This window comes from Homo sapiens, chromosome 2 (assembly GCF_000001405.40).
Source record: "Homo sapiens chromosome 2, GRCh38.p14 Primary Assembly".
Taxonomy (NCBI): Eukaryota; Metazoa; Chordata; class Mammalia; order Primates; family Hominidae; genus Homo; species Homo sapiens.
In genome coordinates, this window is record NC_000002.12 from 105,777,775 (window position 1) to 105,794,744 (window position 16,970).

A 16,970-nucleotide genomic window follows, 5' to 3' on the forward strand; every position below is an offset into this window, starting at 1 on the left:
GAACTGTTTGCTCCTGTCAAGCAGGAAACAAACACGTGCATCTTGAAAATGCCGAGCTCCCTTTGCAGTTCTGTGCTCGTATTGAAGAGAGGATCGGTACTGGGGTGACAGCTCACAGGATTCCAGCAGCAGCACCTTGGTTTCGCCTAGCCGTTCAGCCTTTGCCTGTCTTCTTGTCATGGAAAGTTCTTTTGTTTGAGACCTGGACTTTGTGAGTCTCTCCTAGCTCCCTTATTTGCACCTGCCTTTTCTCCTCACCTTCTTCAGCTGTGCTTGGAGGAGCTGCCAAAGTGGCAGTAAAAGAAACCCCATTGAGCTCTGTGAAGTGAGAGAAATTTGTCCTAAGGACAAGATGTGTTGTGAAGGAGATGTTGGCAGGCCTCTGGGACTGGGTCCCGGGCTTAGAGGGGGACTGGGGACCTAGAAAGCCCCCTGCCTCTCAGCTCTATCCCTCTGCACATTACAGACTGGCCGTCCCTATCCCAGCACATGTGGTAGTGACCTTTGCCAACATCCTGGAGGCATGTGTCTCCAGCAGAGGCTGGAGCCTTCAGGATCTGTTCTGTGTTCTAGCCTTGAGGAAAGAGCTGCTTTGGCCCAGTTTGGTCAGCTGCCCACTCTGACCACATCTGCTGACCATCCTCTGTGGCGTGGGAAGTGGTGGTGTGTAAGAACACACCTGCCCTTAACACTGTGTGCATGGGGACCAGGGAAGGGCGGTGATGGCAGAGGGAAGAAGCCCTTGGTTCTGGGCAGCCTCTCCATGGGGATTTGCCGGCAGAGTTAACTCTCACAGAGTAATGCAGGATGCTGGTGGCTGCGTGAACCAAAGGTGCCCCTATTAACTGGAGTTTCTGCACATTCCTCCTTAGGCTGGGAAATCATGCCCTTGTTACTGCACTGGTTATGTGTATCAATTGAGATAATGGTTATTTTTTTCTTCTTTCATTTCTTATTATTTTTGTAGAGACAGGATCTCACTCTCTTGCCCAGGCTGGAGTGCAGTGGTGTGATCATAGCTCGCTGCAGCCTCAAACTTCTGGGTTCCAGTGATCCTCCTGCCTCAGCTTCCCAAGTAGCTAGGACTATAGGCACACACCACTATACCAGGCTAATTGAGATAATGGTTATTTTTTTTTTCAAGAGCTTTAAGAATATGCTTTAAGAATATCTTTTTTAAACTTGGAAATTCAATATTTAAATGTTAAAACAAATAATTGAGAATAATTTTCATTAATAATCCATCATAAGGCTGGGCACAGTGGCTCACACCTGTAGTCCCAGCACTTTGGGAGGCTGAGGCAGGTGGATCACTTGAGGTCATGAGTTTTTGGCCAGCCTGGCCAACATGGTGAAACCCTGTCTCTACTAAAAATACAAAAATTAACTGGGCATGGTGGCACATGCCTGTAGTCCTAGCTACTCTGGAGGCTGAGGCATGAGAATCGCTAGAAACTGGGAGACAGAGGTTGCAGTGAGCCGAGATTGTGCCACTGCACTCCAGCCTGGGCAACAGGGCGAGACTCCGTCTCAAAAAAAAAAAAAAAAAAGAATCCGTCATAAAATGTGTTTATTAAAATCACTCCTGAAGAAAACAGAAAACACCTAGACTTGAGGCTTTTAATCTTTTTTAATTAACTAAAGGGGATACTTTAAGTTGATTGCCATGTGACTGTTATATATAGAGCTTCAGTCTGTCTGAATATGGCTGCATCTCTGCCACCTACCAAGTGGTGGGTGGCTGCGTCCAGCTGAACTTGGCTTCCTGGAGCTGGGTGCAGCCTCCTGGCTGCAGACCTGAAAAGGACTGCCCATTCTTTGTGCTTTACACTTGGCCTTGTGGGCAGATGGAAAGGAGAGCTTGCTCTCCGCCCACGGGAGACGTATGCAGGTGGAGGAGAGGAGGAAAGAGCTTTGATTTTTTTTTTTCCCACTAATCAGCTTTTGAATTGAGCCTCTTGGTCAGACCATGATTTAAAACGCACACTCACATACATATACATAGTAATTCCCTAGCAGAAATGTAGCTTTGTAGAGTCCTCACGTTCTGTATGATGGATTAATTCCCTTAGTTATAGGAAGGAGAAACTGATATGGGGAAAACAGCCTGAATGCCATAGCCTACGAGACCGCCTTCACCCTCTCATTCAGGATAGCGTGTACATATCCACATACTTCACAGCTCAGCGAATTCTCAAGACCTCCTGTGTGTGCTTCCTTGGGTTATTTAATTCAATTCTACTCTTTTCATAAACTACTCTAATTTCCGTTTTTCCAGTTTTGCCTTTACCTTATTCAATGGCATTATTTTAACTGAGCATATTTTGGACGTACTAGAAATGAAGCATATTTCCTTTGTTTTAAAATTTCTGGTTGCAAGATTAATCAAGAATAATAAATATTTATTGTAGAATATTTGGAAGGTTTTTAAAGTGAAATTTCTATTAATAAAACCATTGCTTCTCAGCATCTAGATTAAGTTGGGACCTGATAGTCATAAATATTTAGATGTCTGTCACATTTATTTCCATAATATGGGAGAGAGATATATACACACACACACACACACACACACACACACACACACACATTCATCTAAAGGACACACACACATACTCTCTCCCTTTCTGGCTCTCTCATTTTCGTTTGGTATCTGGGTTAAAATTCTAATGTTCATCCTCAAATCCTGCTTCTCGCTCATGTCCTGTGTCACATCCATATAGATGTTGAATAAAGTGATAACCACATTTTTGTCATCTATACCTGGGCACTATTGAGAGTGGGAGGGGTGCTGTCTGTAATTATGCTGAAACATCAGTCACCAGTCAGAGCCCCTGGTCACTGATGTGGTCTGAATGTGTCCCTCATATGTTGAGATCCTACCCCCCAAGGTGATGGTATTTGGAGGTGGGGCCTTTGGGAGGTGATTAGGTCGTAAGAGGGGAGCGCTTGCAAATGGGATTAATTTCCTTACGGAAGACACCCCAGAGGGCCCCCTCACCCCTTCAGCATGTGAGGACACAGCAAGAAGCCGCCGTGTAGGAACCAGGAAGGAGGCCCTTACCAGACACTGAATTTCCTGGTACTTTGATCTTGGACTTCCAGCTTCCACAACTGTGGGAAATAACTTCCTTTGTTTATAAGCCACCATTCTGTGGTATTTTGTTACAGCCAGCCAAATGGACTACCACAGTCACCCAGCCTTGACTAAGTGACCCTCTCTTTTCTCATTGCCCGAATCTAGATTTTGTCTCTCACCTGGTCGTGGTCTTCCTGTCTTCTTGCTTTCAGATTTTTCTCCCTCCCACCCACCTATTCCGGGGTTGGCTTTCAAAGATACAGATCTAATTGTTTTACTTCTCTTCTTATAAACTATTAGCTTCCCATTTCCTAGAGGTGCCTTTGTGTTGTCAAAGCACCTTTAAAATCTGATCTTTGCTCCACCTTCTACCATTCAGCCCTTGTGAATTTTATGAACATGATTACTCTAGGTATTCCCAAGGGAGCCGTGCACTTTTTACACCTCTGTGCCTTTGCAGGTCCTGTTGCTGACACAGGGGCAGCCTTCTCCCATCTCCGCTTCCACCTCCACCACTCATCCCTTCCCACACTGCAAGACTTGACTAAATGCAATCTCCCTTTTGAAGCCTTCAGGATTCCCCCAGCCAGAACTAGTGACCCTCCTTGGCCTTCTAGTCCATGTACGTCTGTTTCGTAATATTTCTGCACTCATTCCTGGAAGGCAGTACAGCCTAGCAGTTAAGATCTGGTTTGCTGGCATGAATCATGACCTGCCATTGCCATAGTGTGACTTTGGGCTGGCAGAGGTCTTTGTGCATCAGTTTTATTATCTGAAAAATGGAGAAAATAGCAGTCTTGTAAGGTAGTTGTTAGGTTTATAATAAAGAGCAATGCATGAAAAGTACAGAGCCTGTGGCTTGGCAAGTGATAATCCTGCAATTTATGTTGTCTGTGACAGAGCTGTCGCCTCTCCGCAGTACGAAAATTTGTAGACATGTCTGTTTCTCCAGTTGGAATGAGTCTGTGATAAGGACTCTGGCCACGTAGTGATGCTCATTAGGCATTTGCTGAATGAACTGGTATACGTGCATATGTATTCTTCCCTCTTTATTTCTTGCCGTAAATGCTTTTAACTGAAATAGGTACATACAGCTGTCAGTTTCTTGACTATGAAGTTGAGAATGTCCAAGTGAGTCCAAATTACCTGAAAACCTGCGGCCCATCAGGTCCCTCAAGCTGAGGGAGGAGCTCCTAGACAAAGACCTGGTTTCCCAGGTTTGAGGTCCATTCCTTCCTTACTCTGTTCTTACTATGACTGCGGGAAGTTGCTTTTGGGCTTCCGCGAGAGTGGGAGCCTATCACCGATCATCTCTTTCCCCTCTCTTTATAGGAGTAAGGGGACAACCCTCCTGGTCTGGCTGTAGGCAGGCGGGGTGGCCGGGCCCAGGGACTCAGGGTGGCCCTTCCTTCTGGTGTAGATGGATGGATTATCAGGCACATCCTGCTGATGGCTTCCACCAGCCCATGGGGATTAGTGATCTGCCTTCTCTCTCTGCCACCAAAAATCTCCCTAAAACTAGTTCCACTCTCTCCACAGCAGGTGTCAGAGTTGGGTTGATGGCCATTTGAGGACTTGAGAAGAAACAGTCTATATAATGAACGCTCTTTTCTTAAGTATTAAAGTTACTTTAAATTCTACACAAAATCTCACTTGAGGAATGCTGGCTATGTGAAGTGTCTTATGTTTTCATCCTCTCACTCTTGAACTCCATGCATAGGTAGTATGTGGTTTTAGTACTTTTTATTTTGTTAGAGCAGTTTTGTTTTCATGGCTAATTTAGCTCTCCTCATGCAACGTCAAATGATAGAACCTGATCGTTTCTGAGAGTGGGGGATCCGGCCCGTTGAAATCATTTGGCAAAATGGGCTGCAGCTGCCTGTAGAGGCGAAGTGGATGTCGGGGAGAAGAGGAGGTTGCAAAGGCTGTTAGGCTTGTGCTCAGCTCTGGCAGCCACAGCACCTGCCTCTCAGAGCTGGCTTCCAGTGACTAGTACTCACTTACTGTCCCCAACGCTCCCAACTGGAGAGGCGTAGGGGGCAGTTACTCCAGACACTTGTGCTCACCGGCTTGGCGAAGAGGGTGGCAGCCTCACCTTTATTTCCGGTGTCATAACAAGCCCCATTTGCAGCTGAGTTGGTCGACTATCATTTGCAACAGGTAAGCCTTAAGGCCAGAGCCTTTTTGGGTACCTGGGATATAACCGTGGAACAAGATAGATGGGGAAGCTGCCTTAGAATAAGAGTTGCAGAAGGCCAGAGCCCTGGGAGGTGGTTTAACTTTCTCTGCAGCACTGCTTTGCTTTCTGCCGCAGCAGCTGAGGAAGCCAATTTAACCTTGAATTTTCTTTAAGATGATATGTAATCTTTTGAAGATGGAAAGTAATGGCAGTGGAATGTTCTGCGTGCTGTTTGTAGCCTCGCTAGAGCTTGGGTGGGCCCCCATCGCCCTCCTCCTTTGGGGAGCCTCTAAGAGTCACTAGAGGAGACTTCCCTGAGCTTCCTTCCTCGGAGTGAGGCATTAAATTGTGCCCGTGTTCTGGGGTAGCACCGTGAAGGCCCGCGTGGAACATGGTTTTTATTTAGAGTAAAAACAGCTCGATGCAGCGTTGCCTGTCTGAGCCAGACTTAGCTCTTCATCTTCACCTGCTTGTGGGAAGCTTCGTACACCACCAAGGCACAGGTTAATGTGCAGTATTTGCCACCGTGGGTGCAGTTACTAGGAAGGCAGCCGTTCGCGGAGAATAATGGTGTGTTTTTTCCACCTTGTTCCTCTGAGCATCATGAAATACCTTAGCACGAAGAAACCCTGTAAATATTCTGGGTAATAGCCCTACATAAATGTATTCAGATTATGTTTTTTTTTCGCTAATAGGTGAAAAATGATGACCTCCACTCTTTCCAAGAGGGGTGGCCTGTTCCTGAGCGACTTCAGTGTGCTTCCCCACAGAGAGGGTTTTGCAGCTGGAAACAAGGGCATTTCTTCCCAGAAAGTGGGAGTTGTTTCGCTTCTCCCTTTATAGTACTGCCTTGTAGCAATCTGAAATGTGGATATATTTGGAATTTGCACGAGAAAATGAAACACCCTTTCTCTGCAGAAGACAGAGTGCCATTGCCTTTGCAGGTCACTGAGTAAGCAGCAGGACCTGCTTCAGCTGGACGGCAGGTCCCTTCTGTGGCACCTGGTTGGCCTCAACACCATGCGTGGCATTGGCAGTGATGAAATTCATTTTCATTCAGGAAAGCGTCACTGGGAGCTTTTCTTTTTTGAGAGAGGCTCTCCCTCTGTCACCCAGGCTGGCGTGCAGTGGCGTCATCTCTGTTCACTGCAGCCTCTACCTCTTGGGCTCAAGTAATCCGCCCGCCTCAGCCTCCCAAAATGCTGGGACTACAGGCATGAGACACCACGCCCGGCTGTTATTTCTAATAGGAAGTTGCCATCCCTTTTCTCACCCCAGTGGCATTTCTGGGGAGCAGTTTTCCCACCTGCTGATCGGACTCCTTGTGGTGGTCATATGGGCTTGGGGTGAATCGGGAGGGGAGAGTTTAATTTGCTTACATGTCAAGCTGTTTAAAACAGCCTTTCAGGCTAGTAAGTATTGATGCTGGTTATATTGAGGTGAAGGGGCATGTTAAATTCAAGATACATTTGTGTTTCCACTATGTGGAGCCTCGCTTGTGGAGGGTACAATGTAGAGATGTATTCAGGTCTTTACAATGTAGGTGAGCATAAATGCATTTTTATCATTTCTATAATAATCACATTTAAATTGAGCATGTCTGTGGTTAGGCAGGCAGTTACAAATGCTTGCCATAAAAGATTCTCATTTAGTCTAGTGAAAACTATAACACCATCAAACTTGCCCCTGGAGGAGCAGTGTGTCTGTTGAGGTCCATCCGTTCCTCAGCAGCCACTGTTCCAGGCCCGTGTTTCCCACACTTCCCATTTCAACATTCTTAGAATATGCACAAAGAGTGTGTCCTCAGATACTGACAGAATAGGATACACGAGTAAAGTTAGGAACACGTGCATGCACTTAGGCAGCCTCCCAGTTTGAAATGCTTTCTGAAGCAGGTAGTTGTTTTTTATGTGTTTTTTTGTGTGTTTTTTCGTTTTTGTTTTGTTTTTGTTTTTGTTTGTTTTGAGACGGAGTCTCGCTCTGTCGCCCAGGCTGGAGTGCAGTGGCGCGATCTCAGCTCACTGCAAGCTCCACCTCCTGGGTTCACGCCATTCTCCTGCCTCAGCCTCCTGAGCACATGGGACTACAGGCGCCGGCCACCACACCTGGCTAATTTTTTGTATTTTTAGTAGAGACAGGATTTCACTGTGTTAGCCAGGATGGTCTCCATCTCCTGACCTCATGATCCGCCCATCTCGGCCTCCCAAAGTGTTGGGATTACAGGCGTGAGCGGCAGTTGGTTCTTTACGGTGTCACTGGGAGCCGAGGTGGCCATGCTGTGTGTGTCCAAGTGTAAAAAGAACCAGAGGACGGTTCCCCCGTCCTGGCCAAGGAGGCTAGTGGGAAGCTTCCTGAGATGTCTGTGGACACAGGAAAAAATTGTTGTGTTGTCCTACAGGGAGACATGTGAGTGTAATTCCTGCTATTCAGAAAGATAGAGTCCAAAGTGACACGACCAAAAGACCGCCAATACAAAATCTAATGCAGCCTGCCCAGTCCTCCTTGTAACCTGGTCCCACTGACAGGTTTCCCGCTGTGAACAGTAAAGGGAAAGGCCCAATCTCCAATAGCACCAATAGAGTGGAAGCCACAGGATTGGCTCTGAGCCACCTCAACATCCGCTCAGGTGTTTGCAGGTATGCCCAGCCAGGGAGTCTGGGGCAGCCCTGCCGAGGTTAAGTTTGCCTTTGTGCTTTATAAGCCGAAGCTTGGGAGAACCTGATCACACCCAAAATGTCATTCTGAGGGTCAGCAGGAGGTTGGGCGCAGGACTCCTAGTAAGTGCTGAGTCTATTTATTTAGCTGTTCTCATTTGATGTGCTGAAGAAAATAAATACGATATCTAGTAGCAGTGCAATACTTTTGGTCTAGATGATGGTCCAGGGAGGCCCAAATTATTTAACTTGGGCGACTGGTTCCCTGGACTTAATACCTTTTGCCTGTTTTTTGTGTTTTCGTAAACGTGTGTGTGTCCACTCTTTGCCCATCTGTCAATTTTCTCATTTACCTTCTGCCTTATTTGCCTTATTCTCACGTCCCTTCCACTGCACATCTCTCTATCAGTTAATTAATCCATTCATCCAGCCAGCCTTTTATTGATCATCTGTTGTGTCTAGGGCAGCATGATTAGCGTTGTGGACTGAACAATAAATTACAAACAATCCCAGCACCAGGGATGAAAAAATTATGTGTACAAATGACTCTGATAACAAATGATTATTTTGAATCTATGTAATAACCGTAGTGATCATTAGCTGAGCATGTGCTATGTGCCAGGCCTGGCTCTGAGCACGGACTTGTTCCATTAGCCCTGGGAACGGCCAGTGGGCAGGCTGGGGACAGGATGGGAGTTCGGGAAGGCTGGGAGTGTTGTCTTGGGCCTGTCTGGAAAGGTCTCTGCCTTTGGAGACCTGGCTGCCAGCCTTGGAGGTGGCCCTGGCCGCTGCTGGGATCTTGTGTCTGCTCCTCTCTAAGCATGAGATGCTGAGTCGGTTCCTTTAGCTCAGACTCATCCACACCTTTAGGAAAAGGAGGTAATGCCGGCCTCGCGCGGTTATGAGAGTGAAATTAAACTCCACATAGCTGGCTCAGGGTGAGGCCTGATAAGCACTGTGTCCCTGTGGTGGCTGTGGCCTGGCCTGACTCTCCTGGGTCCCCGGGCAGGGCTTCCTGTCTCCATCGCTGTCTCTTATTTCTCTGCCTCCTTCAGGTCCAGCTTCTACTCTCTCCTCCCTTCTGCCTCCCCCACGCATTGCTTCCTCCTGGGTTTGTTCCCCTCTGCCTCTCTTGGGCCAGTGCCTTCTACCAGCCCTGCTCCCACCCTAGCCTTAGGCTGACTCCCTTACCTCTGCTGCTCAGGCACCCTCCTTTCTAAAGCATGGTGATAACAGCACCGTCCAGACTCGAAGCAGGGGACCTGCGAAACTTCAGCTGGCGTGGTGCCGCACAGGTGCTCCCTGGCCTTGGTGGCTCTCAATGGGGTGAGCATGTGCCCTGCTTTCCTCTCTTCTGCCCTTTGCTGCGACTCCTCTGCTGTCTTGCTCTGCCCGCTGCAGGCGTGGTGGCACTGGGCAGCTGCTGTTACTCCCACTGCCCTCACCTTTGACCCTCAGCCCTGAGCACTCAGCTGGATTTCTCTTTTCTGGGTTGGTTGTCCTCACACTGAAGGAAGCTCAGCTCAGCGCCGTGGAAGGGGCAGGACCCAGTCTCAGCTCTGACATGGTCATATCTGTAGGCTTGGGCTGAGTCTTCCACCTGCAAGTGCAATGGACTGAAATTTTATGTCCCCCAGAAATTCAGGTGGTGAAGTTCTAACCCCCAGTGTGACTATATTTGGAGATGAGCCCTCTGAGGAAATAGGGTTGAGAGTAGGGCCCCCATAATGGGATTCCTGCCCTTCTGAAAAGAGACAGCAGAGAGCTCTCTCTGCCACCTGAGGACATAGCGAGAAGGCAGCCATCGGCAAGCCAGAAAGTGGCCCCCATCAGACTCTGCTGGCACTTGGATCCTGGACTTGCAGCCTCCAGAGCTGCGAGAAATGAATACCTGCTGTTGAAGCCCCCAGCCTGTGGTCTTTTGTTAGGGCTGCCTGAGCTGACTCAGGCAGTGAAGCTACCTCAGTCTCTCCCTGCGGTGGAGACTCCACCCCATGGGGTGTCAGGGTGCACTGGTGACCACTGCACCTTCCCCATAGGAGCATCTCCACTAGCCAGGTTCCTTCTTGCTGGAAACAAGGCCCATCTTTTCTTGATGACAGTGAGGGAATGGGTAGATGGGAAAATTACGGCCATAACTTGTTTTGCTTTAATTTTGGGCTACATCCATGTTATAAGATGATCTCATTCTGTTAGAAACACATGCGTATACCGCCCCCCACCGCCCCCGACTTGTAGATCCCTGGCCCATTGGCAGAAGTGAGTAGACCTGGGCTTCCTGCCCTCCTGGGCTCCACGTGCCACCAGCCAAGGACAAATCAGAGTTGGGATGTGTCTCCTTCCAAGGTTGGATCTGCTTGGATCCATTTTGGATGCAAAAGTGAGGGTGCTAGCTTTGAAAAAGCTTCTCAATTTGACTTTCCTTTCACTTCCGTAAAGTGTAGGGGATTAGAAGTGAGAGTTGGGGAGGAAGGAGGCCAATTCTAGATAAGTTTTTTCATCAGCTATGTGAATTGGAGACAAAAGTTAGAAAACCTAGGTACTAGTGCTGTCTTTTGCTTAAAGGATTTTTGTGCCCTTGAAACTTCTACACCCATAAAATGCATTTTCATGGAGTTAAAGCCATTGCTTAAAAGTAGGTTAAAAGGAGAGGGAAATTCTTTTCTCCATTTCTATCAACGCCATTTAGATGATGATGTTTCAGTCTTTTTTCCATGCTTAGGTTTCCTTTTTCCTCTGGTTTGTATATTTATAGTCATACTCTATCCAAATGAACTTTTCTCATTAATAGGGATTCTGAAACTACTGTTATCTCCATCTCCTCTTGAACAAGTAATACAAGCAATATATATTTTTGATATTTAACATATCTATAGTTGTACTATATTAATACAATTATTATACTGTATATTACTTATATGTAGGTTAAATAAGACACTTCTGTTGGCCAGTGCAGAACTTCCTCATCTCTAAGTGCCTTCTCCTAGAGTTTTCTATTTTTTTGTTTTCTTTCAATATGCTTTATCCATAGAATGCATAATTTTTTTTGTTTGTTCTCCTTCATTCGTTTTCTTCATTCTTATATAGCTTAAATCAGTTACAAACAAGCCACTGTAATCCAATACTCTGTACTTTAAACAAAAGCTATCTGTGTTAATTCTGTTGTGTTTTGACAGAGGGTGACTAGTCAGGGCAGCGGATCTCTTATCTGCTCGTTTGGGTTTCTAAAAATGTATTCTGGTTGCATTCAACTTTTTAGAATTCTAAACTGATATAGACAATTGTTATTTAAAACATGGTATGACTGTGAACGATTTAATGCACGCTTCTCTGCCAATCTCCCCCTCCTCCCGATGCCCGCAGCCTCACTTGTGCTCAGAGGGTTCCAGCGCCCAAGTGAGCCCCACCCACCTTCCTCAGCTGAGGGCCTGGGACCCTCGGCTCCCATAGCGGGTGTGAGAGGCCAGGTTTGCAGTTAGATGTGGCACTTCACACCATTTTTTTCTTTTTCTTTTTTTGGAGACAGAGTCTTACCCTATTGACCAGGCTGGAGTGTAGTGGCGCGATCTTGGCTTACTGCAAACTCTGCCTCCCAGGTTCAAGCAATTCTCCTGCCTCAGCCTCCTGAGTAGCTGGGATTACAAGTGTGCACCACCATGCCCAGCTAATTTTTGTATTTTTAGTAGAGATGGGGTTTCGCCATGTTGGCCAGGCTGGTCTCCCAACTCCTGGCCTCAAGTGATCCACCCGCCTCGGCCTCCCAAGGTGCTGGGCTTACAGGCATGAGCCACCTTGCCTGGCCTCACAACCTTTTTTCAATGAGAAAAACATTAGCCTTCTTTTGTTACACATAAGAGAGTTCTTTCTAGTTGAAGAGATGTTTCCCTGAGTCTTTCTGATGAAAATGATCCTCTTGCTACATAAAATCCTTATAGGAGCAATAAAACCTGCCTTCGGAACCAGCTGTAAAGCACTTATTGTCCATCATCATCTGCTGGTGAGGACCTTGCTCCCCGGCTTGTGATTCTCAAACCCCAACTTAGGCTTGCTCCCGGTTAACGGGAGGGCTTTTTCTGACACAGACTGCTGCCCCACACACCCCCAGTTTCTGCCTCAGTGGTCTGGGGTGGGCCCCAGTAATTTGCATTTTTAAAAAGTCCCCAGGTGATGCTGGTGCTGGCCAGGGCACACCTCACCATCAGATAACGAACAGGTTGGATATGAGTGGTCGCCAACTAAATGTTCACGAATGGATGTTGTGTTTTGCCATCACTGCCTGGAGGGGGCAGGGTAATCAGAGTCCAACACTAGCGTGTTCATGTATTGAGTGCAAGGGAGCAGAATTGGCTTGTCTTCAAAACATCTTAATTTTTATTGCTTCTACTTTGTGGAATGTTACTTCCTATTTGTAGAACGAGAAGAATTAAAAGTTGATTTGTGAGCTAAAAATACGGGCAGCCGTTTCTTCTTCATCAAAGCCCACAAATAGACCTGAACATTTAGACATAAAAGTAAACCGTTAGAAATAGTGTGCATGTCATTAGGATCTGTTGATTGGATTAAAATGACAGACTCGTTTCTTGGCTTCCTGCAGCTCTCGTCATTGCCCACCATCTATTTTTAGCAGATCTTGCCCTGCTGACTCAGAGTGGGAACAGTTGCTGAGCCCTGGGCTTCTCAATGCCATAGGCTGGCAAGTAGCCTGACTTCTAGGATGGGTAGCACTCTATGCCTGGGCAGCAGGAGAGTCTGTGCCTGTGAGGAGACCCCTCTGCAGGCAGCCTGGGAGCCCGGCCACCCCCGCCTGCCCCATTTCTTGTTACCTCACCCACTGAGAGGAGCCACCTCTGGAGCCCTGGTTTCCTAGGCCCTTTGAGAAGTGTGCCAGGTGTTGCTGCCTGGAGTGTCATCACTTGATGTGACATCTTACTGCATCCCCCGCACCTGTCCTCATCTTAGGTGAAGGCATCAGGCCAGGCCCTTAGTGCCTCCTTCCTCTGTTCTGGGCACCCCTAGGGGAGAAGTGTACATGGGTGGAGCTTGTCTTCAGGAGACTGTACCTGTTTCTTTAAGGCTGCTGTCCAGGTGGGTCTCTCGCTGCCAGCTGATGCACATAGGCAAGACTTGGGTGGAGGGAACGGCCTTTGAGCTGTGCCCGAAGAAGGAAGGGTGTGGCAGGTCAGCCCGAGGCAAGGGAGGAGAGTCCTCATCTGCAGGGCTTGGTGAGGAGCCAGCCAGAGTCCAACCCCTCCCCTTTATATCACAGATGCACACTGCTAGGGGAGTGCTCCTCGTGTTAGAACCTGCAAGAGTTGGAAGGCACTGCTTAGAGGTTGTCCGCTCCCACTCAGGAAACTTTGGGGCTCTGGAAATGCCCATGAGCAACACAGCTGAGAGGGTAGGTACTGTATGTGGGAGCCACTTGGAAGCCCCTGCGGCCCTGGGCTCAGCCACTCTGCACCCTCATTTTCTCATTTGTTAAATGAAGAGGTGACAGCGGAAGATCTCTAATCCTTCCTTCCAGGATTTAAATTCTAGTAATTCTTAAGAGAATGTTGATTCATCTAGAGAAACCTGAGGCAGTGATGTAAATTACAGCCACACTGATAAGAAACTGGTCATTTTTTACCTCTCCCACGTAACCTCTGTGCCTTCACGTTTTTCTCTTCACTCCAGAAGAAGAGTGACCAGGTGTGGTGGAAGGCTCGGTGGCTTTCACGATGGGAGGATATACGGTGTAAAGTGCCTAACAACAATGTAGGGAGTGCACCCTCGCCCCGTTGCCGTGCTTACCGGCCAGAGTGCTGCTGCAGATTACTCTTCGCTCACTGTCTTTGGGATGTCCTTATTTGTTCCGTGTATTACAGTGTAGTTTATTGTATGTTTTTAGAGCACTCTTGTGTTCATTTAAACTTCTCTAGAGCAAAGAGCATTTCGAACTGACTCCATAATAGATCTGATCATAGTGACCTCTTGAAGTGCTTGATACAGGGTTTCGTTTTTCTACTTGACAATTCAGGCAAATCAGTGGTATACATTCTTCGTAGAGCTTGTGAGTTTTGTCTATAATTTGATCCATGTAAAAATGACGCAGCTGCTCGTGGTGGTTGTGTTTTGATAGGCCACTCAATATTTTCATATCTGTTGTATATTTAACACCCGAATAACTTACCAAGATTTTATCGAGTGAACTGATTTTTCTTTTTGGGAGGAGCAGAGGTCAAGCTACCAAAAATGTTTTTTCGATGTTTTGAGTGTGTGTTTTTTAAGCATAATCAGAAACAAAAAGAAGAGCCTTAATGGGTTAGCGGTTGATTCTGAAAAGCAAGCTGTTGATTGTGTTGTGGGCTCTGCACAGAGCCGTGGGAACGCTTCCCCAGTCCTGCCTTGGTGACCGGAGAGATGGATGAGATTTTGGAGACCCCTCCTGCTCAGCCTCACCACTGACCCGCTCCATGCCCTAGGCAGGGAGGTGCTTTGCGCACCTTCATATGTAGAAGATGGTTTGCTGCTTGGGGGTTTCTGATGGCCCTTTCAGCTATCACATTTTATGATGATCTTGACATTCTTTGTAAGATGTGATTTCTTAGTTATCAAGATCATCATATTCAGTGTAGTCCTAAGGTAGAATCAGAATAAATTGCCCAGCTTCAGCAGTTATCAATTAATGGCCAATCCTTTATCTAAGCCCCTATAGACTCTAACAGATTATTTCTGAAGTGAATTCCAGACATCAATTCCTGTCCTGTAAATATTACGGAATTTCAATAACAATAACTACTTAACAAGTATGCAGTCAGTGTTCAAATTTTCCCACCTGTCTCAAAATGTTATTTACAACTGGTTGTTAAAGTCAGAATCCACGTAAGGTCCACACATGCAGCTGAATGATCTATTGATTTGTCCAAACTCGTTTGTTTTTTTTTTTCCACCTTCCCCATGCCAGTTGATTTGTTGGCAAAACCCGGTCTTTTGTCATTTGGGCTTCCCACAGTCTGCAATGTGCTGACTAGGACCCTGAACTTCCTAGAAACTGCACATCAGAACCAGAGCCAGTCTGGTGCGATTTTCTGGCAAGGCTGCCCCTTAGGTGGTGTGTGTGCATCTATCAGGCCGAGGCCCATGTGAGCAACCTGGATGGCCGTGGCCTCCACCTGTAATGCACAGGGGTTGCAAAGTGATGATTTTCTGATTCAGTCACTCCTTCTGCACTTGCTAGCCAGGTGAGGAGAGTACTTGTCAGCTATTACCCCGACGTGCAGTTTAGATGGGAGTCTTTCCCTTTCTCACCAACCGAGTCAGCTTTTCCCTAATGGTGGGATTCTTTCCTGTCCTGTGTCATGAAGCCAACCCATGAAACTGAAGGTGAGCATCAAGCAGTGCAGGCTTTATATAATGGCCGTGGAATTGAGAAGTGGCAGTGTGGCTCGCAAATTGGCTTCTCAGTCCATGAGAGGTGGGAAGCCACAGATGTAGGACATCTTTAATGAAGGGATTGGGCATTAAAAGCCAGGAGAGGAATATTCATGTATTTTCTGGGAATGGGTGGAGAACTTCTGGAAACCAGAGTGCTGCCTGTTTTTTTGTCCCCTTATGGTTTCTTGTCATTGTCATGGTGATTGTCAACTGTCATGGTCCTAGTGGGAGTGTCATTTAGTATGGAAATTAGATGATAATGAAGTTAAAGGTTCTTCAGAGGTCAGGTGAGCTGCCATCTTGGATCCCACTGGTTTCAGCTGGTCTGGTCAGGCAGGGAACTTCTGACCTCGGGCATCCTGTTTCTGAGACAAGTAGAGTTAAGGCAGGGTAGAAATTCACCTAGGTCATGTAGGCATTGCACTGGCTAACAAGTTTATTTGGCAGTTTTCAGAGTAAATAGTTCTGGTTCCCCAGTATCCACCAAAGTGAGCAATGAATTTGTTTATTTCTTTGTTTTGAGTAGCAATTGTGGAACTCTGATTTAAGATACTTTGTGTGTATTTTTACCCACTGCAGTTGACACCCTCATTGCTGCTCAGGCTGCCCCAGCCTTGGCCAGCGAAAGCTGCCTTAGGTGGCCTTCGTGTTCTCTTGCCACGTGCCTGTAGTCCTTAATAATCACACCGGAAAGCAGGGAGCTGTGGGGGTTTCAGGCTCCTTTAGACAGTGCCTACCCCAGCTGGGGTCTGCGTGCCTTCAAAGAACTGTGGGGACCACTACTGTTTATGGGTTGCTTCTGGTTTGGTCATTGTGTCTGAGCCTTTTCAGTGGATAAAAGCTTTTTTTCTTTGGTGTGGTTTGTTTTTAAACATAATCTATTATAAATTCACATTGATACTTATAACTCAAAATTAGGATTCTAAAATATTGTATCTTTCGATTTTTTTTTTTTTTTTTTTTGGAGACGGAATCTTGCTCTGTCGCCCAGGCTGGAGTGCAGTGGCGCCATTTTGGCTCACTGCAACCTCCACCTGCCAGGTTCTAGTGATTCTCCTGCTTCAGCCTCCCAAGTAGCTGGGATTACAGGCGCCTGCCACCACGCTGGCTAATTTTTGTGTTTTTAGAAGAATTTTCTAAAATTTCACCATGTTGGCCAGACTGGTCTCAAACTCCTGACCGCAAGTGATCCGCCCGCCTCAGCCTCCCAAAGTGCTAGGATTACAGGCATGCGCCACCATGCCTGGCTGAATCCTTTGATTTTATATTTCCTTTATGCTGAAAATCTTTGTCCCTAGGATCGTTTACGTAATGACTTATTTGCTTGCTTGTGTGTTTTATTTATATACAATATATATAAATGTTTAAAATAACCCCACCAATATAATTGCAAACCATATAAGTACTGAAAACAACAGAAAATGTTTTTGTCCTTAGGGTTTATCTCACAGGGGAAATACAGTCCAATTATTGTATTTCAAAGTCTTTCAGGATAATTCCTCTCTGTACTTAAGCCACCAACTCAATTTATAGTTTAGTTTGTTTCATTCTGCTTTTAATTTTTGGACTTTAAAAAAGTTAATAGTTTATTATTTTATTTATTTATTTATTTATTTATTTATTTTTGAGACGGAGTCTTGCT

At 46.5% G+C, this 16,970-nt stretch overlaps 1 protein-coding gene across 10 annotated transcripts in view, besides 7 other annotated features; it reads left to right on the forward strand.

Annotated features, from left to right (window-relative positions):
- NCK2 (NCK adaptor protein 2) overlaps window positions 1–16,970 on the forward strand; it is a 149,820-nt gene that overhangs the window by 33,322 nt on the left and 99,528 nt on the right. Inside the window, exon 1 of one of the 10 annotated variants that reach the window (XM_047446020.1) lies at window positions 8,183–13,310. The exons of the other annotated variants lie outside the window; for them this stretch is intronic. The gene's annotated coding sequence lies outside the window, so the exon portion shown is untranslated. Of the gene's footprint in view, window positions 1–8,182; window positions 13,311–16,970 lie in introns of those variants that run through there. 10 annotated transcript variants of the gene reach the window in all.
- Window positions 131–631: an enhancer, noted in NCBI's record as "H3K27ac hESC enhancer chr2:106394362-106394862 (GRCh37/hg19 assembly coordinates)". NCBI's record gives its function as "activates a minimal SCP1, AML or CMV promoter by ChIP-STARR-seq in naive H9 embryonic stem cells {active_cell/tissue: H9 hESC(naive)}" and the evidence as "EXISTENCE:reporter gene assay evidence [ECO:0000049][PMID:30033119]".
- Window positions 5,126–5,626: an enhancer, noted in NCBI's record as "H3K27ac hESC enhancer chr2:106399357-106399857 (GRCh37/hg19 assembly coordinates)". NCBI's record gives its function as "activates a minimal SCP1, AML or CMV promoter by ChIP-STARR-seq in primed H9 embryonic stem cells {active_cell/tissue: H9 hESC(primed)}" and the evidence as "EXISTENCE:reporter gene assay evidence [ECO:0000049][PMID:30033119]".
- Window positions 8,912–9,483: an enhancer, noted in NCBI's record as "H3K4me1 hESC enhancer chr2:106403143-106403714 (GRCh37/hg19 assembly coordinates)". NCBI's record gives its function as "activates a minimal SCP1, AML or CMV promoter by ChIP-STARR-seq in naive H9 embryonic stem cells {active_cell/tissue: H9 hESC(naive)}" and the evidence as "EXISTENCE:reporter gene assay evidence [ECO:0000049][PMID:30033119]".
- Window positions 9,066–9,115: an enhancer, noted in NCBI's record as "active region_16323". NCBI's record gives its function as "activates an Ori minimal core promoter by ATAC-STARR-seq in GM12878 lymphoblastoid cells {active_cell/tissue: GM12878}" and the evidence as "EXISTENCE:reporter gene assay evidence [ECO:0000049][PMID:35858748]".
- Window positions 12,250–12,299: an enhancer, noted in NCBI's record as "active region_16324". NCBI's record gives its function as "activates an Ori minimal core promoter by ATAC-STARR-seq in GM12878 lymphoblastoid cells {active_cell/tissue: GM12878}" and the evidence as "EXISTENCE:reporter gene assay evidence [ECO:0000049][PMID:35858748]".
- Window positions 12,540–12,589: an enhancer, noted in NCBI's record as "active region_16325". NCBI's record gives its function as "activates an Ori minimal core promoter by ATAC-STARR-seq in GM12878 lymphoblastoid cells {active_cell/tissue: GM12878}" and the evidence as "EXISTENCE:reporter gene assay evidence [ECO:0000049][PMID:35858748]".
- Window positions 12,670–12,719: an enhancer, noted in NCBI's record as "active region_16326". NCBI's record gives its function as "activates an Ori minimal core promoter by ATAC-STARR-seq in GM12878 lymphoblastoid cells {active_cell/tissue: GM12878}" and the evidence as "EXISTENCE:reporter gene assay evidence [ECO:0000049][PMID:35858748]".